General features: G+C 36.4%; 1 protein-coding gene and 1 long non-coding RNA gene across 3 annotated transcripts in view, besides 1 other annotated feature; both read right to left on the bottom strand.

The window, feature by feature from the left end:
- The window catches only part of ARHGAP24 (Rho GTPase activating protein 24), a 527517-nt gene that overhangs the window by 334777 nt on the left and 167167 nt on the right, over positions 1 to 25573 (bottom strand). The gene's annotated exons all lie outside the window — the stretch shown is intronic.
- Positions 66 to 1265: an enhancer, noted in NCBI's record as "BRD4-independent group 4 enhancer chr4:86587778-86588977 (GRCh37/hg19 assembly coordinates)". NCBI's record gives its function as "activates an origin of replication core promoter dependent on BRD2, P300/CBP, MED14 and CDK7 cofactors, and independent of BRD4, by STARR-seq in HCT116 cells {active_cell/tissue: HCT116}" and the evidence as "EXISTENCE:reporter gene assay evidence [ECO:0000049][PMID:35650434]".
- Positions 8429 to 24385, bottom strand: LOC105377319 (uncharacterized). Of its 2 annotated transcripts, XR_007058168.1 has the most exons (4): positions 20380 to 24385; positions 14768 to 14826; positions 9346 to 9390; positions 8429 to 8842 (listed from the first exon to the last, which is right to left on the bottom strand). It is a non-coding gene; the product is annotated as an uncharacterized LOC105377319 (long non-coding RNA). The 2 variants fall into 2 exon arrangements; XR_938955.4 differs by lacking the exon at positions 9346 to 9390.

Below are 25573 nucleotides of genomic sequence, written 5' to 3'. Positions count from 1 at the left end.
GTTTCTTGACATCAATGAGAAAAAAATAGCAATTAAATAATTGTAAACCTCAAGAGAATCAGACAAGTCGGTGGGTAATTTAAGAAATTCTTGTATCCAATAGATTTTTATTTGGCTTTCATGGAAACCTTTAATTCTTTATGATACTGGATACAGAAAAACACAAATATTCATTTAGCTTACTGATCAGTAAAATAACTTATGAACATTAGGGAAGAACAGAGGATAAACAAAAAAGTGCGTGGCAGCCAAGATGGCCGAATAGGAACAGCTCCGGTCTACAGCTCCCAGCGTGAGCGACGCAGAAGATGGGTGATTTCTGCATTTCCATCTGAGGTACGGGGTTCATCTCACTAAGGAGTGCCAGAAAGTGGGTGCAGGACAGTGGGTGCAGTGCATTGTGTGTGAGCCAAAGCAGGCCAAGGCATTGCCTCCCTCAGGAAGCACAAGGGGTCAGGGAGTTCCCTTTCCTAGTCAAAGACAGGGGTGACAGATGGCACCTGGAAAATCGGGTCACTCCCATCCTAATACTGCGCTTTTCCGACGGGCTTAAAAAATGGCGCACCAGGAGATTATATCCAGCACCTGGCTCAGAGGGTCCTATGCCCATGGAGTCTCACCGATTGCTAGCACAGCAGTTTGAGATCAAACTGCAAGGCGGCAGCAATGCTGGGGGAGGGGAGCCCGCCATTGCCCAGGCTTCCTTAGGTAAACAAAACAGCTGGGAAGCTCCAACTGGGTGGAGCCCACCACAGCTCAAGGAGGCCTGCCTGCCTCTGTAGGCTCCACCTCTGGGGGCAGGGCACAGACAAACAAAAAGACAGCAGTAACCTCTGCAGACTTAAATGTCCCTGTCTGACAGCTTTGAAGAGAGCAGTGGTTCTCCCAGCACGCAGCTGGAGATCTGAGAACGGGCAGACTGCCTCCTCAAGTGGGTCCCTGACCCATGACCCCTGAGGAGCCTAACTGGGAGGTACCCCCCAGTATGGGCAGACTGACATCTCACACGGCTGGGTACTCCTCTGAGACAAAACTTCCAGAGGAACGATCAGACAGCAGCATTCGCGGTTCACGAAAATCTGCTGTGCTGCAGCCACCGCTACTGATACCCAGGCAAACAGGGTCTGGAGTGGACCTCTAGCAAACTCCAACAGACCTGCAGCTGAGGGTCCTGTCTGTTAAAAGGAAAACTAACAAACAGAAAGGACATCCACACCAAAAACCCATCTGTACATCACCATCATCAAAGACCAAAAGTAGATAAACCCACAAAGATGGGGAAAAAACTGAGCAGAAAAACTGGAAACTCTAACAAGCAGAGTGCCTCTCCTCCTCCAAAGGAATGCAGTTCCTCACCAGCAATGGAATAAAGCTGGACGGAGAATGACTTTGACGAGTTGAGAGAAGAAGGCTTCAGACGATCAAAATTACTCTGAGCTACAGGAGGAAATTCAAACCAAAGGCAAAGAAGTTAAAAATTTTGAAAAAAATTTAGACAAATGTATAACTAGAATAACCAATACAGAGAAGTGCTTACAGGAGCTTGAGAACTACGTGAAGAATGCAGAAGCCTCAGGAGCCGATGCGATCAACTGGAAGAAAGGGTATCAGTGATGGAAGATGAAATGAATGAAATGAAGCGAGAAGGGAAGTTTAGAGAAAAAAGAATAAAAACAAACGAACAAAGCCTCCAAGAAATACAGGACTATGTGAAAAGACCAAATCTACATCTGATTGGTGTACTTGAAAGTGATGGGCAGAATGGAACCAAGTTGGAAAACACTCTGCAGGATATTATCCAGGAGAACTTCCCCAATCTAGCAAGGCAGGCCAAAATTCAGATTCAGGAAATACAGAGAAGGCCACAAAGATACTCCTCAAGAAGTGAAACTTCAAGACACATAATTGTCAGATTCACCAAAGTTGAAATGAAGGAAAAAATGTTAAGGGCAGCCAGAGAGAAAGGTCAGGTTACCCACAAAGGGAAGCCCATCAGACTAACAGCAGATCTCTTGGCAGAAACCCTACAAGCCAGAAGAGAGTGGGGGCCAATATTCAACATTCTTAAAGAAAAGAATTTTCAACCCAGAATTTCATATCCAGCCAAACTAAGCTTCATAAGTGAAGGAGAAATAAAATCCTTTACAGACAAGCAAATGCTGAGAGATTTTTGTCACCACCAGGCCTGCCCTAAAAGAGCTCCTGAAGGAAGCACTAAACATGGAAAGGAAAAACCGGTACCAGCCGCTGCAAAATCAAGCCAAATTGTAAAGACCATCGAGGCTAGGAAGAAACTGCATCAACTAACGAGCAAAATAACCAGCTAACATCATAATGACAGGATCAAATTCACACATCACAATATTAACTTTAAATGTAAATGGACTAAATGCTCCAATTAAAAGACACAGACTGGCAAATTGGATAAGGAGTCAAGACCCATCAGTGTGCTGTATTCAGGATACCCATCTCACGTGCAGAGACACACATAGGCTGAAAATAAAAGGATGGAGGAAGATCTACCAAGCAGATGGAAAACAAAAAAAGGCAGGGGTTGCAATCCTAGTCTCTGATAAAACAGACTTTAAACCAACAAAGATCAAAAGAGACAAAGAAGGCCATTACATAATGGTAAAGGGATCAATTCAACAAGAAGAGCTAACTATCCTAAATATATATGCACCCAATACAGGAGCACTCAGATTCATAAAGCAAGTCCTTAGTGACCTACAAAGAAACTTAGACTCCCACACAATAATAATGGGAGACTTTAACACCCCACTGTCAACATTAGACAGAAAAACGAGACAGAAAGTTAACAAGGATATCCAGGAATTGAACTCAGCTCTGCACCAAGGGGACCTAATAGACATCGACAGAACTCTCCAACCCAAATCAATAGAATATATGTTTTTTTTCAGCACCATACCACACCTATTCCAAAATTGACCACATAGTTGGAAGCAAAGCTCTCCTCAGCAAATGTAAAAGATCAGAAATTATAACAAACTGTCTCTCAGACCACAGTGCAATCAAACTAGAACTCAGGATTAAGAAACTCACTCAAAACTGCTCAGCTACGTGGAAACTGAACAACCTGCTCCTGAATGACTACTGGGTACATAACGAAATGAAGGCAGAAATAAAGATGTTCTTTGAAACCAACGAGAACAAAGACACAACATACCAGAATCTCTGGGACGCATTCAAAGCAGTGTGTAGAGGGAAATTTATAGCACTAAATGCCCACAAGAGAAAGCAGGAAAGATCCAAAATTGACACCCTAACATCACAATTAAAAGAACTAGAAAAGCAAGAGCAAACACATTCAAAAGCTAGCAGAAGGCAAGAAATAACTAAAATCAGAGCAGAACTGAAGGAAATAGAGACACAAAAAAACCCTTCAAAAAATTAATGAATCCAGGGGCTGGTTTTTTGAAAGGATCAACAAAATTGATAGACTGCTAGCAAGACTAATACAGAAGAAAAGAGAGAAGAATCAAATAGACACAATGAAAAATGATAAAGGGGATATCACCACCAATCCCAAAGAAATACAAACTATCATCAGAGAATACTACAAACACCTCTACGCAAATAAACTAGAAAATCCAGAAGAAATGGATAAATTCCTCGACACATACACTCTCCCAAGACTAAACCAGGAAGAAGTTGAATCTCTGAATAGACCAATAACAGGCTCTGAAATTGTGGCAATAATCAATAGCTTACCAACAAAAAAGAGTCCAGGACCAGATGGATTCACAGCCGAATTCTACCAGAGGTACAAGGAGGAACTGGTACCATTCCTTCTGAAACTATTCCAATCAATAGGGAATCCTCCCTAACTCATTTTATGAGGCCAGCATCATCCTGATACCAAACCTGGGCAGAGACAAAATCAAAAAAGAGAATTTTAGACCAATATCCTTGATGAACATTGATACAAAAATCCTCAATAAAATACTGGCAAACTGAATCCAGCAGCACATCAAAAAGCTTATCCACCATGATCAAGTGGGCTTCATCCCTGGGATGCAAGGCTGGTTCAATATACACAAATCAATAAATGTAATCCAGCATATAAACAGAACCAAAGACAAAAACCACATGAGTATCTCAATAGATGCAGAAAAAGCCTTTGACAAAATTCAACAACCCTTCATGCTAAAAACTCTCAATAAATTAGATATTGATGGGACATATCTCAAAATAATAAGAGCTATCTATGACAAACCCACAGCCAATATCATACTGAATGGGCAAAAACTGGAAGCATTCCCTTTGAAAACTGGCACAAGACAGGGATGCCCTCTCTCACCACTCCTATTCAACATAGTGTTGGAAGTTCTGGCCAGGGCAATTAGGCAGGAGAAGGAAATCAAGGGTATTCAATTAGGAAATGAGGAAGTCAAATTGTCCCTGTTTGCAGATGACATGATTGTATATCTAGGAAACCCCATTGTCTCAGCCCACAATCTCCTTAAGCTGATAAGCAACTTCAGCAAAGTCTCAGGATACAAAATCAATGTACAAAAATCACAAGCATTCTTATACACCAATAACAAACAAACAGAGAGCCAAATCATGAGTGAACTCCCATTCACAATTGCTTCAAAGAGAATAAAATACCTAGGAGTCCAACTTACAAGGGACGTGAAGGACCTCTTCAAGGAGAACTACAAACCACTGCTCAATGAAATAAAAGAGGATACAAACAAATGGAAGAACATTCCATGCTCATGGGTAGGAAGAATCAATATCGTGAAAATGGCCACACTGCCCGAGGTAATTTATAGATTCAATGCCATCCCCATCAAGCTACCAATGACTTTCTTTAGAGAATTGGAAAAAACTACTTTAAAGTTCATATGGAACCAAAAAAGAGCCCGCATCACCAAGTCAATCCTAAGCCAAAAGAACAAAGCTGGAGGCATCACGCTACCTGACTTCAAACTATACTACAAAGCTACAGTAACCAAAACAGCATGGTACTGGTACCTAAACAGAGGTATAGGTCAATGGAAGAGAACAGAGCCCTCAGAAATAACGCCGCATATCTACAACTATCTGATCTTTGACAAACCTGAGAAAAACAAGCAATGGGGAGAGGATTCCCTGTTTAATAAATGGTGCTGGGAAAACTGGCTGGCCATATGTAGAAAGCTGAAACTGGATCCCTTCCTTACACCTTATACAAAAATTAATTCAAGATGGATTAAAGACTTAAACGTTAGACCTAAAACCATAAAAACCCTAGAAGAAAACCTAGGCAATACCATTCAGGACATAGGCATGGGCAAGGACTTCATGTCTAAAACACCAAAAGCAATGGCAAAAAAAGACAAAATTGACAAATGGGATCTAATTAAACTAAAGAGCTTCTGCACAGCAAAAGAAACTACCATCAGAGTGAAAAGGCAACCTACAAAATGGGAGAAAATTTTCGCAACGAACTCATCTGACAAAGGGATAATATCCAAAATCTACAATGAACTCAAACAAATTTACAATAAAAAAACAAACAACCCCATCAAAAAGTGGGTGAAGGATATCAACAGACACTTCTCAAAAGAAGACATTTATGCAGCCAAAAAACACATGAAAAAATGCTCACCATCACTGGCCATCAGAGAAATGCAAATCAAAACCACAATGAAATACCATCTCACACCAGTTAGAATGGCAATCATTAGAAAGTCAGGAAACAACAGGTGCTGGAGAGGATGTGGAGAAATAGGAACACTTTTACACTGTTGGTGGGACTGTAAACTAGTTCAACCCTTGTGGAAGTCAGTGTGGCGATTCCTCAGGGATCTAGAAGTAGAAATACCACTTGACCAACCAACCCATTACTGGGTATATACCCAAAGGACTACAAATCATGCTGCTATAAAGACACATGCACACGTATGTTTACTGCTGCACTATTCACAATAGCAAAGACTTGGAACCAACCCAAATGTCCAATAAGGATAGACTGGATTAAGAAAATGTGGCACATATACACCATGGAATTCTATGCAGCCATAAAAAATGATGAGTTCATGTCCTTTGTAGGGACATGGATGAAATTGGAAATCATCATTCTCAGTAAACTATCACAAGGACAAAAAACCAAACACCGCATGCTCTCACTCATAGGTGGGAATTCAACAATGAGAACACATGGACACAGGAAGGGGAACATCACACTCTGGGGACTGTTGTGGGGTGGGGGAAGGGGGGAGGGATAGCATTAGGAGATATACCTAATGCTAAATGACCAGTTAATGGGTGCAGCACACCAGCATGGCACATGTATACATATGTAACTAACCTGCACAATGTGCACATGTACCCTAAAACTTAAAGTATAATTAAAAAAAAAAGTTAGGCAGAAGCTATACATTTGTTAACTTAAATAAAACTTTCACATACCTTATTGTTTTTGAAAATTTGCAAGCCTAGAATAACAAAATAATGGAGGACCATATGAAGACTTGACAATAAACAAACTGTAATAGATTTGAGCCTACGACGTATTTTGTTTTCACCACTCAGAGAAAAAGATAAACCAGAATAATGCTGGAAATTGGGTTGTCCTGCTCCTTCTATGGTTTCTTAGATTCATTCTCCAATTAATGTAATTTCAGTTAACTAAGCTACTTTTTTTATCGGCTGATTGTTAACCAGTCACAATCTGTATTTTGTGTTTCTGACAGTAACCACTCACTGCATTCAACTGCAGAAGCAAAATCACCCACATCACTTTTATAACAAAACATGTTTACAGCAAAATCTGAGTATGTTCCTAATGACTTTTCTAAGTTTGTAACACATATGAATCATCTTTGCAATGTTACTGGTCAAATGTCTGAATTTAGATATCTTAGTAAGAAATAAGAAAAGGAAGATGCATGCTTCAAAGTGTTTGCCTGTGGCTATTTCTGTTTCTGAAGTTTTAATGAAAGTGGTGTAAGTGAAGATGAACTGAAAGTCTCAAAATACCAAATCGGCTACAAATTGAAACTCTAAAAATAATGAAAGGTTATGTCTACCAGCAGCTCTCTAAACAATCCCCATCTACAGATTTTTTTTTTTTTTTTTTTTTTTGAGACGGAGTCTCTCTCTGTCACCAGGCTAGAGTGCTGTGGCGCGATCTCAGCTCACTGCAACCTCCTACTCCCTGGGTCAAGGGATTCTCCTGCCTCAGCCTCCTGAGTAGCTGGGATTACAGGCATGTGCCACCATGCCCAGCTAATTTCTGCATTTTTAGTAGAGATGGGCTTTCACCATGTTGTCCAGGATGGTCTCAAACTCCTGACCTCGTGATCCACCTGCCTCAGCCTCCCAAAGTGCTGGGATTACAGGTGTGATCCACAGTGCTCGGCCAGATTTTCTTTTAAATTAATTCAGCCAATTCCTCTCCCTTCCCTGAGTCTCACTATTTGAGTACTGTAGCCCTGAACATCTGCATTATTGAAACAAGTAGCTGTGAATAAATCACTCTGTTTTGTTATACTTACATGGAGGATACATTTTAAAGCTACTTTTAAAACAGTATTTCAAGAAAAAAAGAAAGTCATTTTGGAAATAAAATCCAAGAAATATTGGTCAATATTAACTAAAGTGTGAGAATTAATTCAATCATTAGCAAGTACATTTTCCTTGCTTCACGGCGGGCAGGCAGGACTTAGGTATTTACTGATTGGCTCCTTCAATATAGGTAAGGAGGGAATAAGAGACAGTCATAACTTAAAAGTTAATTAAGAAATTCAATTGAAGGCACTCAACTGCAAAGTTAAAAGACTTTAAAATCTGAAGTTAAGCACATGCCGTTTTTTCCACATAACCCACCGAGTTTAGATGAGAAGTGATAAGGGCAACTCCCCCTAGCAACAAGTCCTACTGCACTGGTAGCTGCTTGTTCAGCTGCAGGCACTCTAGACTTAAAGGAGGCTATTTCAGAGAACGAATGGAAAGAAACCTATTATTTTTTTAGAGATGGCTTCATAAGGATATTCTAAGTTATCAGAAATGCTGCTTGGGGAAGTGTGTGGTACTACCCCTGGATCCAGAATAGGGGAGGAATGAAAAGAAGAAAGACTTAACATAATTTCCCCTTTTTCTCATTACTGAGTCATTCTTCTACCCTGAAAAAGTCCTCTTCACAAAAAGCAGACTGAGGAGATGAAAGAACTATAATATATTAGGAAACATAGTAATTACAACCCTTATGTGTACTTTAATTATATAATGTGTTCATCAAAATGAAGGGAGATAATTTTCTATTTCTAAGACTAAAATTATATCATTCCAAATAGTGTAATAGAACTAGGGAGGAGAACATTAATATGGCCGCTATATTCATACTTTTTTATATATGTTGAAATACCAGAAGCTATGTTAGGCCTTGTAGATAACACAGGAATATTTTGAGACACAATTTCCATTTTATAGAAATTTAATTTCTAAAGGAATTATTTAAACATTAATTTAACAACAGATAAACTTTAATCTTATTTTTACTTTATGATATTGTAATATTTGACATTGGCCTTGAAAATCTGATAGGCACTTCAAAAAGACAGAACTCTGGTTTCCTTTTTGCAAACTATACTGCACTAGCAGCGCCCTCATTCTGTTACTGGTAGCATCATTCTTTCCTCTGTTCAGGCCAAAAACCTTGGTCCAGAGTTTCTTAACTTCAGCAACGTCAGACAATTCTTTGTTGTAGAGAACAGCATTATATGCTTCATAGGATATTTAACTGCACCCCGGCTTCTACCCACGAGATATCTGTGGTATCTTCCCCAACTGTGACAAGCCAGACACTGTCTCCAGACGTTGTCAAATATTCCTGGGAGAGAAAAATCACCTTCAGTTAAGAGGCACTGTCTCAGAGTTACTACGGACTTGGCTCTCTCTCTGTCACATCCCACATAAATCTCTCAGCAAATCCTATCAGCTCTGCTTCAGAACAGACTGAAAATACAAGAACTTCTTATACCTCTGCTGCTCTCACCTTGACCCAAGCTGCTTGATTCAAATTCTGGATTACTCCAAGGACCCCTATCCTGTCTCCTTGCTTCCACATTTGGCCATGTACATCCTATTCCCAACAAACCAGCCAGACATACTATCAACACATTATAAACTACTCTAAAAGTGAGAAAAAATGGCTTGAGTGATTCCCCATGGTCCATATTCATGACTATACTGTGTGAAAACACGCTAATATTACTATGAAGACAGTCGTGGTAAAATTAGTCTAAATGTTGGCTAGACCTAATTCAGCCCCACATAAAAGATACTTTTACATTCAGATGATCAAAGCAAAGCAAGTATTTATTGAGTGCTTACTGTGTACTTGATCCTACAGTCAGAGCAGAATTTCAGTATAAGAAGCTGGAGATCAAATAATATTTATGAAAATATTTCTACTTTGTACCACAAACAACAGGTTAAAAATAGCACTTTTTACTAGAGCAATTTTTTAAGCAAAAGGTTAAAAAAAATTCTGAGAAGCTCTTTTAATTGGTTTTTATGAAAAAAGGTTTGTCTCAGGGTCTAAAGTAATAAATTTCCAAAAATGATCCGCTACATATTCCTTTAAATTGAATAATTTTGCATTGATTACAGAGAAAAAATGAAGTGGGAAGGCAGATCCCAGGGTCCCAAATGTGATGATTTTAGCTCTTCTAATTATTGAAAATGTAGTTTATAGATACTTTATTCAACATTAATGGAGAGAAAAAGAGTTTGTTCCTTCTTTTGTCAGACTGAAAAAAAGGTCTTAACAAATTGACCAATGAGAATGCAATTGTAAATGAAGAATAATTAAATAACTGGAGGCCGGGCACAATGGCTGACTCCTGTAATCCCAGCATCTTGGGAAGCCGAGGGGGGCAGATCACTTGAGGCCAGGAATTTGAGACCAGCCTGGCCAACATGGCAAAACTTCATCTCCACTAAAAATACAAAAATTAGCTAGGCATGGTGGCACGCACCTGTGGCCCCAGCTATTCGGGAGGCTGAGGTGAAAGAATCACTTGAACCCGGGAGGCAGAGTTTGCAGTGAGCTGAGATAGTGCCGCTGCACTCCAGCCTGGCTGACAGAATGAGACCCTGTCTCAAAATAATAACAATAATTGGAGTTGTGGCATTTCATAAAATTTTTATTTTGTAGTTATCATCTACCCCGGCAATGTTTGCATTTTGCCAAACAAATGAAAATGTTATTCCCTTGCAAAAGTGCCTGGAGGATAAAGTTATTAATTTGCCTAATACCCTGTCTCCATGGGAGAGCAAGCTGACACGAAGTTTTCTAGAAACTACTCTGTTTTGACCATTTTCCCTCTCTATTCCTTTAGAAACACAGTCAAGTGTCATTGCTGGCTAGATATTAAAGATTTTCTGTTAATTTCAGCTCACAAGTTCTGAGACAGGTTAAAAGAGGAAGAAAATTTTTCTCTTGTATTTGAAAAAAAATCCTTCTTAAAGTTATGAAACTTTAAGTTATGAAACTAAAGGTTCAAACTTTAGTTATGAAACTAAAAGGGAAGAACAAAGTAGACCATTCAGAATACATTAACTTTCATCCAAAGGTTTCAGTGTGTTTGGCAGATAGCACATTATTAAAACACAATTCTAATAAGTTCCAAGAAATTCTTCTCCCAATTGTACAGCCACAAAAGTTAAGGCTTGGGGAGATGAAGAAATTTATAGCCCAGAAAAAATAAAATAAGGCTAAGGAGAAAACAAAATCCATCAATTCTTATGTCTGAAAACAATGAGAATAAAATAAAAACGAGACAAAAATTATTTCCTTGTTTCAGTCAATAGAAAATTGTTCCAAAACACCATTGCAATGTTACATTTTTATAATTTATTTACTTTTTAATTTTGACTCTATTTTTCACTATTCTACATAATTTGCTGTAAACATTTTTTTTAAAGCAGCTTACACTCCAGCCAAGAATAGTTTCAAGGAACTCTGAAAGGAGCGAAGTTAAACAACACTGTTAGTAAAGCCACTACAGTGTGACCCATATGATAGCCATGGTTAAATATGGCCAAAAATCATTATTATCATGCTTGTATTTTTTTTTTAAAGCTGATTACTTAAAAATAAGCTTTATTGGCCAGGCGTGGTGGCTCACACCTGTAATCCCAGCACTTTGGGAGGCTGAGGCGGGTGGATCACGAGGTCAGGAGATCGAGACCATCCTGGCCAACATGGTAAAACCCTGTCTCTACTAAAAATACAAAAATTAGCTGGTCATGGTGCCACACGCTTGTAATCCCAGCTACTTGGGAGACTGAGGCAGGAGAATCGCTTGAACTCAGGAGGCGAAGTTTGCAGTAAGCCAAGATCACGCCACTGCACTCCAGTCTGGTGACAGAGCGAGACTCTGTCTCAAAACACAAACAAACAAACAAAGCTTTATTAAATCACTCATATAAGATACACTAATTGATTCTAAAGTCCTATCATATTAGAATTAAAATTATATTACTTTATCTTTCTGCTCTTACATGTGTCAAAATACTTTTAAGCTGAAATGTTTCAGCTTAATGTTGGTAAAATACGAATCTCACTTTCATAAAATGTCATTTACATTGTCAAATTTTAATTTCAAATTCAGTGGTTCCACAAATTGTTTTATCTTTTCATTTTATAGAAGCCAGTGTTTTTAAATACATTTCAGAATTGTCTCTAAAGAAAATTAAATAGTTCTGTGTTATGGTTACCACCTTCTGTTACTAAAAGTAAATAATTTACAAAATATACTTTGATCCAAGAATATAGGATTATAAGTGGCCATGCAAGTTGCAATAGCTGTAGGCAAATTTTAAAATTGAAATTTGCAAGTTTAATTTATTTGCCAGTTAAGGAAATAGCATATTAATTCTACTGGAAGCAACCCAATAAAAAGGTGACTTATCAGTTGCTGAATAAAACTGCTTTATTTTATTCTCATAGAGAACTTTACATATTTTATTCACGTGTACAGTATACTTACTCTTTCAAGGCACAGTCTAACCAAACTTCCTCTCTGTCTCTCTCTCTCTCTCTCTCTCTCTCTTTCTCTCTCTCTCTCTCTCTCTCTCTATATATATATATATATATATATATATGGAGTCTCACTCTGTCACCCAGGCTGGAGTGTAGTAGTGCAAACTCGGCTCACTGCAACCTCCGCATTCCGGGTTCAAGCCATTCTCCCACCTCAGCCTTCTGAGTAGCAGGCACGTGCCATCACACTGGCTAATTTTTGTATTTTTAGTAGAGACAGAGTTTCACCATGTTGGCCAGTCTGGTCTCGAACTCCTGGCCTCAAGTGATCCACCTGCCTTGGCTTCCCAAAGTGCCGGGGTTACAGGCATGGCCACCGTGCCTGGCCCCAAACTTTCATTTTAAAGCTTTGATGTCCATGATTGAGAGTTTTACATAAGTATTTTCTCTGGCAGTTATTAAACCAAATATTAAATGAATAAGAATTAAAATTCCTATTCAGCTCTTTTTGTATAAAATTGTTTTTCAGTAGCAAGTCCCTAAAGAACATTGTTCAATAATAGTACTAAATTAATATGATTGCATAATACATCTAGTTAAATGTTTATCAGATTCCAGAGTATCTGATAAATATCATGGAAAACAATTATGTAATTTTAAGGGCATTTATCACCCTATGCTCCCAAATGTAATTAGCTCTTGCAACATGACTAAGTAATCCAGTTGGAATACTGTGCTGTAGCAAAAAACATTAGATACCCAAATAAGCCTAAAAAGAGCTATAAGCTATATTTCATCATTAGTGAAAAACATCTAAAATACAAAAAATATTCTAAGGAATTTTAATTTACAAACTCTTTTATGCCAATATAAGGGAGGAAAAGAATTAAAAACAGAATATCTTATAAAACTGTAGCTAATTCTGTATATATTCAATTTAATCACTACTTACTTTGTAAGAGTTATAGTGTATGTAAATTTTTCTAATATCCAAAACTTGTGTCTGCCAGTACTATTTCTAAGAAGCATACAAAGTACACACATACACATGTACACATTTATATCATGTTATATAATATGAATGTTATAAATCTGACTATATAACAATATTCACTTGTAAAAATGTTAGTAGCTAGGATAAGGAGCTGTAGCCAATTGCTTCCCAATCCCACTCCCGTTCTGTAGGATACAGGCTTCTATCAGTTACATAAATAGTCTCAGATTTTCAATTTCAAAATGTAGATTAAAATATATTTTTTTATTCATGCATCCATGTATATTAGAAGTATGTGTATAAGAAAGGTAATGGTATGCAGCATGAGAGAGGCCTGGGTTTGAATCTCATCTCTAACAACTACTGACCTTTTCATTGGGGTCATGGATTTCTCATATGTAAAATAGGGTATAAAACCTACATTGTAGGATTCTTCTGACTACTCATAAAAAGTATGTGTTATGAACTAAAGTTTGCCCCCAAAATTCATGTTGAAACCTTAACTCCCAATGTGACTATATTTGGAGATAGAACCTTTAAGGAGGTATTTAAGGTTGCATAGAGTCATAAGGGTAGGACCCAAATCCAAATGGACTGGGTCCTCAGAGAAGAGAGAGATGCCAGGCTGTACACACAGAGGAAAGGCCAGGTGAGGACACAGTGAGAAGGCAGCCATCTGCAAGCCAAGGAAAGAGGCCTCAGGGGAACCCAACTCTGCCAGCACCTTGATTTTCAACTTCCAGCATCCAGAACTATGAGAAATAAATTTCTGTTGCTTAAACCACCCAGCCTGTAGCATTTTGTAATGGCAGTTATAGGAGACTAATACAATGTGTTTAAATGACTAGTGTATTTTTGTAATACATACTCTAGTACCAAAAATGCTACATCTACCTCTATTATAATTATAATAATAATTATTAATAATATAAGGAATCAGAGGCCATGTAGTACATGGTATATTTAGAGCAGCAGAGTTCAATAGAACATTCTTCCATGATGGAAATATTCTTTAATTTGTGCTGCCCAGTATATTAGTCACTGGGCACATGTGGCTATTCAACATATTGAGCATCTGAAATGTGGCTAGTGTAACTGGAGAACTGAATTCTTAATTTAAATTAATTTATAATTGTAATTCCAGCACTTTGGGAGGCTGAGGTGGGTGGATCACTTGAGGTAAGGAGTTGGAGGCCAGCCTGGCCAACATGGTGAAACCCCCTCGCTGCTAAAAACAAAAACAAAATACAAAAATTAGGTGGGGATAGTGACAGGCACCTGTAATCCCAGCTACTCAGGAGGCTGAGAAAGGAGAACCGCTTGAATCTGGGAGGCAGAGATTGCAGACAGCTGAGATCGCTACACTGCACTCCAGCCTGGGTGACAAAGTGAGCCTCCTCCTCAAAATAAATAAATTAATTAAATAATTTACATTAAAATAATCACATTTGGTAAATGATATACTGGACAGTGCAAATCTAGAGCATCTGCAATTTACTTATGCTATTTTCATCATGGTTCGCTTTTTCTCTACTACATAATACAATGAAGACTTCTTTAGGCCCTTTTACCAAATTACCAGAAATTAATCTGGAAAGTTTTCCAATGACTCTAACATTACTCATATTCAGAAAATATAAAATAACCTCGCCAGCTAGAACAATGATATATTCTGGTTTTATTCAGTTTTTGTGTAATAGAAGATCCCCAAGATCATAGTTATTTTTCATTGTATATTATCATTTATGGTTTAAAATTGTATCTGACTGTACCTTGTTTTGGACATAATTTAGCCATGTCTTGAAAGTCTAGGTTCATCAATATGAATTTTCTAAGAAAAGAAAGCATTTTATTAACATACATTTACTAATACATATTAATATGCCTCAAGAGTTCTTAACATATTGAAGAAAAATACAAATTCAAGGAAAGTCAACACTGAAACAAAAAGTAGCAAGAAAGAAAACCATTATGCCCAACTCTAAAACAAACAAACAAAAAACTCAGAAAATCTTTTGTCACAATAATCACATAAATATTTGGATTTTGGAAAGTTTCTTCTTTACCCAACCAGCCTAGACAGACTGGCTGCTAGTGTAACAATTGCCTCTGCCATGGAAGCACACCACATACCACCCCAACTTGCCACCCCCTAATCCACAGTTTCTGCATCCCTCAAAAATTTGTGCATCCTATTTCCACTCTTCTCTTTTACTTGTATTATATCATTGATTAGAGGAAAGGAAAATTATCTCTCATGTCTATAAGAACTGGCTCTAGAATGATTCAGGCACTTCTTAATACAAAGCTTAAAATTTCTCCATTTTCATTATTAAATACTGCAGATATGAGAACAAGTCAATTTTGCTAACCTTTTAAAAATGTTTGTCTGGGTCAAAACTCTAGGCACAAGTCACACATAAACTGTCAATGCTAATCTTAATTATCTTGAAAGCCCTAACTTATACTCTAATGATGGATTGACTTCTCATGGAAATTTCGTTAACAAAGAGAATTTCATCTTCTGAATTATACTCCATTTCATAGACGGAGTCAGTAAAGTAATATTGTGAGACAATACGGTAGTAGAAATATTCCTAATCACTAACATATTCTTTATGAAAATCATTATCACTTTTGCTGAAGTGACATTTCACTAGTGGTATCACAAAATAAAGAAGTCAAAATCATCTGATCACCCATTATCTTATTATTAAATGTGAAATAAATGTAGAGAACTTTAAAAATCTCTAATATGAATATTTGGCATCAATATTTTGTATTGTAAGCATGCAGCATAAAGTCTTGCTTTGCTATAACACTAAAATATGTGTGTTGAAGTAGGCAAACAAAACAATAGACCATTTTCATCACTATTTTAAAATTATCAAAATATAAGCTGTGCTAAGAAATGAATTTTCTGAGAAAGACTTTAAATTGTTCGCTATCAAAAATTTTTGAATAATTTTTATACTTCTAAGCCCATCTGTTCTTATTTTATCTAATTCTGAAAGATAAAAACCATTTAAATAAAATCACTCACTTTAGAAAATGATACTTTTTCATTAATCTTAATGACATATCTAATAAGAGGAAATCATTAATTTAATTAAATATATGGCCTTGAAGGAATACAGATGCAGACAGTCAACAAATTATAAAATTATACGGATGCAAATAATTTAAGAGCACTTATGACCTATTATTAGACAAAAAGAGGAAAAACTCAATGTGTTACTATGTTCACAGTTTGGGTAAAGACTAAAAGTGAGTATTAATAATAAAACACTAGTAATTATGAGGAACTTTTAAAAATTACCTTTAAAATTATTAAATATTATATTTATAATTATTAAAAAGTAAACTGAATTTCAAATGGAATGAATTTTCCACTTAGGAGGTACAGCAAAGGAAAAACTTGGGAAAAACCTAGGAGTTTCTCTAATCCCTGTGTGTCCTTCACGTCCCATCTCCAATCTAAACCATCAATAGGTTCTGCCATTCCTACTACAAAAATAATTCATAAATCTATTCACATTTTCCATCCCTGGACTGATGAATTAGTCTCCTTATCGATCTTTTCCCTACAACACCCCCAAATCTATGCTACACAACATCAAGCCACTTGTTTGCTTAAAACTCTTTAATATCTTTCCATTACATTTAGAGCATACCCAAACTTCTTGCAGAGACATACAAGCCCCTACATGATCTCAGGCCTGCCTCTGTTCTCCTCTCCTGCCTCTCCCCCGTCCTGTTTACTAAGCTCCAACTTCACCGAACTTGTTTTCACCTCAGGCCTTTGCATACGCTGCTGCTTCCACCTGGAATATTTTTCCCATGCAGACCTTTCTTCAAGGCCAACTTCTGCTTATCCTTCAGGTTGTCCATAGTCACCCAATCTAAACTCTGTCCGAAGAACTAGGTTATCCTGGGACTTTATATTTCTTTTGCAGATTTTCAAAGGCAATTCATTGCTTCAAGGCTAATTGCCAATGCCCAATTTGCACTTGAATAAAGAGGCTTACCTAGGAATATATATGTCTGTTAGCAGAAATGACCTCCTTTAGGATCAATACTTTCACAGGTTCCCTTAATGTTCTCAGTACTCATATTCAGTTTGAATCCTATATCCTTCCTGTAGTCTTCTCTGACACATAGCTTACCTCCTTAGCTAGCCTGTAAATATATAGAGTATAGGGACTACTGCTTATTCATTGTTATATTCACAAATTGCATTCTACATAGTATTAATAATAATTATTGTATTATTCAAATATAATAATAGCAAGTGCTTATATAGGGCTTACTACAGGAAACAAGAACTGTTCTAAGTATTTGATGCATAGTAACTCATTAAGTGATATGATTAGACACATCAACAATAAGACAGGTATTTTCATTATCCTCATTTTACAGATTAAAGAAAACTAGAAGCTCAGACAAGATTATTGGCCAAGGTCATTGGGTTAGTGATAAACCTAGGGCTGAAACCCAAGCAGTCTTCTGTTTACAACAATGTTACATACACATTGAATATTGAAAGAATGAAATAGTTGATAATAATTCACTTCAAGCAATAATCTTGTCTTTGGATAATTTTGTGAAAAATTGTTGGACTTTTTTTCTAAAGTTTTGCCCAAGACCTGGCTTCTCACTTCTAAAATCTATGATAACTTTTGCTTCACTGGTAATAACATCTTTCATGGCACAACATTTGAAAGGAACACATGCTAGATAATTCTCAAATCAATGCTGGATAGCATTTATGGAGCGACCATGTACTTCTTAAATTTACACCGTATATTGGAAAAGTATAATGTACTTCATTTAAGTCAGAAACAGAGGAGTTGGTGTAGTGCAAAGAATTCAGGATTTGGATGCAGAAAGTCTAGGCTTTTGTCCTTATTTCTCCATTGCTACCCGTATGACCTTATGACTACCTTGATATCTCTAAGCCTCAATAATTTTCTCACCTGTAAAAAGAGGAAAATAATGTCCAATAATTAAAGGCATTATGAAGCCTAATGAATATCAAAAAATACAAGATCATTATTAAATAACAATGTTGCAGCTACTGAATATATGCAGGACATCACACAGTGCCAGGATATAGTCCACAGTTATTTTATTGCTTCTCCAGTGAATGTGAATGAATGAAGAAAGATGAAGACTCCATCATGAAATTTGTTTTGGTTTTATTGGACTGGTCTAGTTTCACAGTTAGAAGACAACAAATTTTGAGAATAAATCTCAACAGCCAACTCTATGGATCGGGCATACTGACAGACCATTAAATGAGTCAAGGACTTTCTAATGGGGAATTAAATCAATCTGTTTATCCAGTGGCAAACAAATACTTTATAATACATTAAATGCAAAGAAGAATATCAAGCCGTTAATGAAGGGGGCTGTGGTGTAGGGGAGTAAGTAAGAATGCCTGGGTTTGAGTTCTGTTTGTGCCATTTACAGCTGTGAGAATTTCATTTAAATATTGAACACCGCTGACATTGTTTCCTCAGCACTAAGATGGATATAAAAATCCCCACAGGACTGTTACAAATATTAAATAGAATAGTGTCTTTAAAAACACAATGCCTGATTTAATATGCTGATTAAGACATGCTAAATGAGACAGTCAAGAATAGAGAATCGCTACTGAACTGAAGCCATTCTGTGGCTGGGGAATTGTTCTGTATGCAGAATGCCAGTCACAGATTAAATGTTTGGTAAATACTGTGAAATTAAAGTGCATCACACAGAAAGGCCTTTCCAAGATATCAGCCGAACACTTAGTTCATTTGTAGCCATTTGTAGCATTTTGCTCTCAGAAATAGAATATAAGCACACACACACAAACACACACACACACACACACACACATATTTACAAATGCAATTTAACCCAAAGTTCTGAATGCACATATGTGACACAGTTCTATACTCCTTTTCAGAAAGTTAATTTCTGTTGGCAATGTTGTTAAATGCAAGTTTTTTAAATGTTCTATTTTAGGATATTTAACTAGGAGTGGAAGCTCCCCAAGGACATAATAATGAAGTTCCAGTAGGCAAGGGAGTGTAACCACATTTCCAGAAAGAAAAATAAAGCTATTTTTTGAAACAATTAAAAGATAATAGACCAGCAGAAATTTTACAAACGGAGACATTTTTTATTTTATTCGACATAAATCACAAGCTATCTCCTGACTGAAATCTTCCTATTAAAAACTCAGAGGAAATAACAGTTTCCACTTGTATGACATATTTGGTTTATGATTTGTGATGATAAATGGCAATATTACATCTTTGACTTGATTGCTTTAGAGTCGTCTGTTCTGTCATGGGTGCTGGGTGGGGTGAAGCTCATGTATCTGTTTCCAAAACTCCAGTGTATAATATATATGTAAATATCCCTGTCATCTGTATTCTCAATGAACATGCACCACAATTCTTTTTATCTCTGTAAATCTTTTGATTTGTTTTCAAACTAGTTTTAAGTAACTGATGTGCCTGTGTATCTCAAACTCAGTGCAAAATATATTAAACTAATTGTCATAGCTATAATTGAGTATCTAACAATAATACGCATTATTCAGTAAGATGTTAGAGTAGCAAAGAGAAAAAGGTACCTCATCTCAGGAGATCTTGGCAGGACTTCTGTAAGATATAACTGAGGAAAACTACCTAGCTCCCCCTCCGATCTGGCGTAGGATCAGGAGTTTCCACATTTAGATAATTGAGTCAAGGTTTTGGTTCTGCAGATAATCTGTAAGTGCGTACACATTTCCTACAACAGGTGTGAATAAGTCAGCATGAACTGTATTTATCTGACTTTATTAGCTGACTTACTTAGACGCATTTATGCACTTCTTCAATAAAAATTTTTCAAACAATGGCAACCATTTTTCTAAGGATTGCTGGTACAGCAATGACTCTAGAAAAAAAATACCTTCCCACATAAAGCTTACATTCTAGTTGGGGAAAACAGACACAAAATGAATAAGTAAAATGTTTAGTACAACAGATGGCAATAAGTTCCATGGATAAAAATAAAGCAAAAATGGACATAGGGTATGGTTACAGGGAGACGGTTCCAATTTTTAAAAGACTGGTCTTATAATGTTCACTAAGAAGATGATGTTCTAGCAAAGACCACTGATGTTTGACATTTGAGTACTCAGTGCTTCATTATCATGCCAGCACCACTGCCATAGGGGACAGCACTCTCCTGATCAACTACTGTAGAGTTGTTAAGATGAAAATTCAATTCTACATTCATTATTGTAATTTATTCTTTGAGGTGAGTATAATTTCCTATTGATTTTATATGTGAAAATAATGAGGTAACAAGTAAGTGTTAGGCTAACTTATTCAACATCACTCACTTGTGAGGGGTAGAGTCAGGACTCCAGGCCAGGTCATCTGATTTTCAAACTTGCACACTTATTACTACAGCATGGTGACCATGGAGGTAGATCACCACAGGCAAATGTCTCAGGACACCAAACCAAGCCAAAGGACACCAAAAGGAAAGGCAGAGGAATGTTAGATAATTTTTCCCATTTTGCTATGATTTAATTCTCTTTGTTTTCACAAAATGCATCTCAATAATTAATTATAGAATTATGCAAATACCCTTCATAAAATACAACTATGACTACAACTATGACGATGTCTACTACTACTACTAATAATAATAATTATAATCAAATCCAATTTCTTCCCATGCAAACCAACCTTGGGCCTAACTACATTGCATGTCTCCCCATTTCAGCTACTAGAAAATGTCCTCCAAATTTAAGCTCTTAGCTTTTATCCTACTATCACATGGTTTCTTCCCAATTCCTCAATTCCAACTAGAATTAATCTCTACTATCCTTATATTCTCAACTTAGTTGCTTGACTTACCAGATTTTCATGTTTATCTCCTCTTCTAAGTTATGAATATGTATATGGCAGAGTCAATGTCTTTTTCATGATTACATATCACATAAATGTGAATACAAGGCTTTACTAATAGTATATTCTGAACAAATGTTGGTTGAATTAAAATCAAACCACATATTAAGGAGTACACTTTCAAAAATATAGCAAGCACCCTCAATTTCCCAACTAGCCTCTGAACAGCACTATGGCCAGATCACAATACTTAGTTCCCTTATATTTTTGCAGAAACTAACCTAGTACATGTAGAAGGCAAATAAATTAGAGATTTTAAAAAGTCATGATATTTAAAAATCATAAACTGTTAAATAAATATAGTTAATTGGATATAATTTATTCAATGAGGGTCTATGAATACAATTTAATCCTAAGATAGTGCATCTTTGAAAAATGACTTTTGAACTAAAGAGGAATATAGATTGTGGCTCTAAGTTGAACTAATGTAGAAAATAATAGTATAGACTTCTTCCAAATTTGTATTACCAAAAAGAATGGGAAATTGAACTAATTAGATGCAACGGGGTTGAGAAAGTCATTTAATTAATTGTTTCTATTTGAAAACCAAAGAGTAATACCACATTACATTTAACACCTTTTTTTAGTCTAAAAGCCTGTAATTCCTTTATAATGATGATGATGGCATATTTCTTTAACAGGTCATTTATCAAATGCATATATAATTTCTATGGGAAATGTATTCTCTGGGTAAATTAGAGATGACTAAATTACTATAATTTATTATTAATCTTTATTTGATGTTAAAATAATTGTTGAGGCTACAGGATGATATGGAGCTTCAAGAAATACTAATCAATGATAATGACATATGTGCATGGCATCTCACAGACAATGTAAGCTTTTAAATAACATATACAAACACTTACTCTTGTTATTTTGTAGTTAAATTTTCAACAAAAGATAGATAATTGCAGTATGTCATTTTTCACACTTAAGGGCTTTGTATAACCTAAATGGAAGTCTTTGAAAATATTTGTATAATGAGATAGAACTAACATCTATGATTTGATACATATTGTATCAACAATCAAACATTAAGACATTATTCTGTAATATTGATTCATGGTATGTTTTGAAATCACCATAGAATTAGGCTGGTAATTGGAAAACCATTTAAAAGCTATCATATATATATTTTTCATAAGCTCTCAGCTGGATTATCAGTGTCTTCTGGAAGTTCTCTAAATGCACACTATAGAAAAACATTTTTATGAGAAATGCTTATTGGAAGTCAGTTTTCCTTCCAATATGTGCTTCTTTTTACGGTTAAAATGAAATTTACTAAGCAAGGACATTCAGCACAAGATGGACACGCAGGTTTGATGTCCATTTCCCAGTGCCATGCAGCATATGCACCTCATTTTAAAAAGTCAGTTTTACCTTACACAAATACTATATTCATGCTCAGAGAGGATAACCTAGTACAAAGATATCTCTTCATATTTTTCTACCTATGGTACAGTTTCTTTCTAACCAAGAACTGTTCTCTGCTGTTCCTCTTGATTATCATGCAGATTCTCTGATTTTTAATGCATCCAATCAAGATTTTTAAAAAATCAGAGCCTAAAGAAAAGAAAAGAGATCTAGGACCGAATTCCATTACCAAACCACCATGATTAAGTTCAATTTATCCTGAAAATTTACTCTATGAAATAGTGTTTGAATTAAATGTGCCAATAACCAGAGCGTGAAAATAACTTTGTTATATGGAAATTTTGATTAAGGCATTTGTTTTAAATGACAAACTTACTCTTTGTTATTAAACTGTCTGGAATTTTTATCTTAAGCTACAAACTCAAAGTAAACAAACATTAAAGTTTAAAAATGAACAGATGTCCACTGATTATAACCAGAATTTATCCGAGAGAAAATGTTGAAATGTAATTTTATTATCTAGGCTACTCTTTTGCTTCTAATAGTCAATTTTTTAAAGTAACAGAGCACGTTCACGACTATCATCATGAAGCCCAGTCTTTACAAAAAGTGTAGAAAATGAGTTACTCATTTCTCTTGCCATCATCTATAGTTTAGAAGCACATATCTGTCAGACTGAACTATGACAATTTAATGAGATTTTACCAGATCTTGCAACATCTATATATAATTGTCATATAATTAAAATGAATACTACACAAAGGACTACCCTATTTCTTGAAACAGTTCAGAAAAGTTAACTACAAAATGGCAAGAATAAGTATTTGTATATATTATTTAAAAGCGTACACTGTTCATTTATGAGATGCCATACATACATGTCATTATCATTAATTAGTATTTCTTGAAGCTCCATCTTATCCTTGTAATCTTAACAATTATTTTAATATCAAATAAAGATTAACATGATATATTCCATCAGTTTAGTTATCTCTATCTTAAGAATAAATTTTCTATAGAAATTACATATGTATTTGATAAATGACCCTATAAAGAAATATGCAATCATCATCATTATAAGAGGATTACAGGCTTTTAGAGCAAGAAGAGGTCTTAGATGTAATATGGTATTACTCTTTTGTTTTCTAATAAAAGCAGAGTCATTAAATGACTTGCTCAATTCCATGCAACTAATTAGTAATAAAGACAGACTTAGATCTCAGTCTTAAAACCAATGTGATGTTCTTTTCATGAAACAAAGCTGCCTCCCTCCAAGTACTAATCATGCTAACATCTGATCATTATCAAGCAGTTCTTATGTGCCAAGCTCTGTTCTAAGCTCTTTGCTCATTTCTTCTTCACAGTAATATGTCGGGTAAGTACTCTTAGTTTCAGCGTTTTATAGTTGAGAAATCTGAAACAGCAAAGTTTAAGTCACTTGCCCTTCACATAAGTAGTAAGAAACTGATCTCTTTTTGACCCAAGAACAATGGCTCCAGAGCCCTTGCTCAAAATCATACTATATTATTGCATGTAGTTTTAAAAGACTAAACTCTTCACCAAAAATGAAGTCAAAGGCATCATCTTTCACTCAGACTGTCTTCCAATCTAAGACACCTAATAATAACACAATTAAAGATAATTAAATCAGACTTCAGGCTAATCTTTCCTGGACTTACTTGGGAGACTCAAACACACAGCTTTCAGTGACACTTTGCATATGCCCCTACAAATAACAATGAGAGTTCTCACTGATTGATTCATTCACTTTATTCCTTCAGCAAATTTTTGCTGAAAACCAATATCAAAAGATACTCTTTTGGGGAATAAAACAAAGATCTCTGTTCTTGTAAACTTGCACTCCCCTGAGTGGAAAAAAAAACACATCCAAAGTGTTTTATTTTATTCCCCCGTGGGAGAAATAGTAAATAATAAGCATAATAAAAGTGAATTTTATAGTATGCTAGAAGGTGATAAGTAGTATGAACAAAACACAAAAAAAGGCCGGGCGCGGTGGCTCACGCCTGTAATCCCAGCACTTTGGGAGGCCGAGGCGGGTGGATCATGAGGTCAGGAGATCGAGACCATCCTGGCTAACAAGGTGAAACCCCGTCTCTACTAAAAATACAAAAAATTAGCCGGGCGCGGTGGCGGGCGCCTGTAGTCCCAGCTACTGGGGAGGCTGAGGCAGGAGAATGGCGTGAACCCGGGAAGCGGAGCTTGCAGTGAGCCGAGATTGCGCCACTGCAGTCCGCAGTCCAGCCTGGGCGACAGAGCGAGACTCCGTCTCAAAAAAAAAAAAAAAAAAAAAAAAAAAAAAAAAAACACAAAAAAACGGAAAATAAAAAAGAAAAGTAGAACCAGGTTAAGGGGTATTTGAAGATGGAGGAGAGTCCAGTTTGCAATTTTAGTGGTGAGATCCCGATACATGTCACTTTCCTTAAGAAAGTAACATGTGCACAAAGATGAAATGAAGGAAAAAGGTTAACCTTGGAGTCACCTAGAGGAAAGGCTTGAGGAAGATGAGAACTACTGCAAAGTCCCCAAGTGGGATTATGACTGGGGTTTTGATACACGGCTGAGGAGAGTGATCAAGGGGCGGAGACACAGGAGCCACAGTCAGAGAGATACCTGGAGCCAGAAAGTGAAGTGCCTTGAAGGCCACTGCAGGGACTTTATAGCTTCTGTTCTGAGAACGACGGGACTATTGCAGGGTTCTCAGCAAAGCAGTGACATGATCTGACAAGTTTTACAAGAATCACTCTGTCCATTATGTTAAAAATGGACTTTTGTGAGACAAGAACAGAAGCAGGGAAATAAGCAAAGGACTTTTGAAGTAATCTAGGTAAGAAATGATAGTGGCTCAGACACTCTCAAGGGTGGTAGCAGTAGAAGTGTAAGAAATGTTAAAGTTTTGGATATATTTTGAAAGTGGAGCCTGCAAGGTTTTTATTTTATTCAAATGAATGTGAGCTATTGTGAGAGAAAGAAGAGTCAAGCGTGACTCTCAAGTTTTTGGTCTGAATAAACTAAGAAAGATGAAACTGCATTTAAAAAGATGAGGAAACCTACGGATGAAGCAGGTTTGGGGTGAGAGGAAGTTTGGAGCATGCTGAGTTTGAGACATATATTAGTCGCTTAGTAGACTATTGAAAGAAGTTGAACAAGTCTAGAAGTCTAGGAGTAAGGGATGGACTGGAAATTTACATTCAGGTGTGTGAGATTATAATATATATATTTATG

The sequence above is a fragment of the Homo sapiens genome, chromosome 4 (genome assembly GCF_000001405.40).
Source record: "Homo sapiens chromosome 4, GRCh38.p14 Primary Assembly".
NCBI lineage: Eukaryota > Metazoa > Chordata > Mammalia > Primates > Hominidae > Homo > Homo sapiens.
Note: the sequence above shows the minus strand (reverse complement) of the source record. Positions and strands in the feature narration are given on the sequence as shown.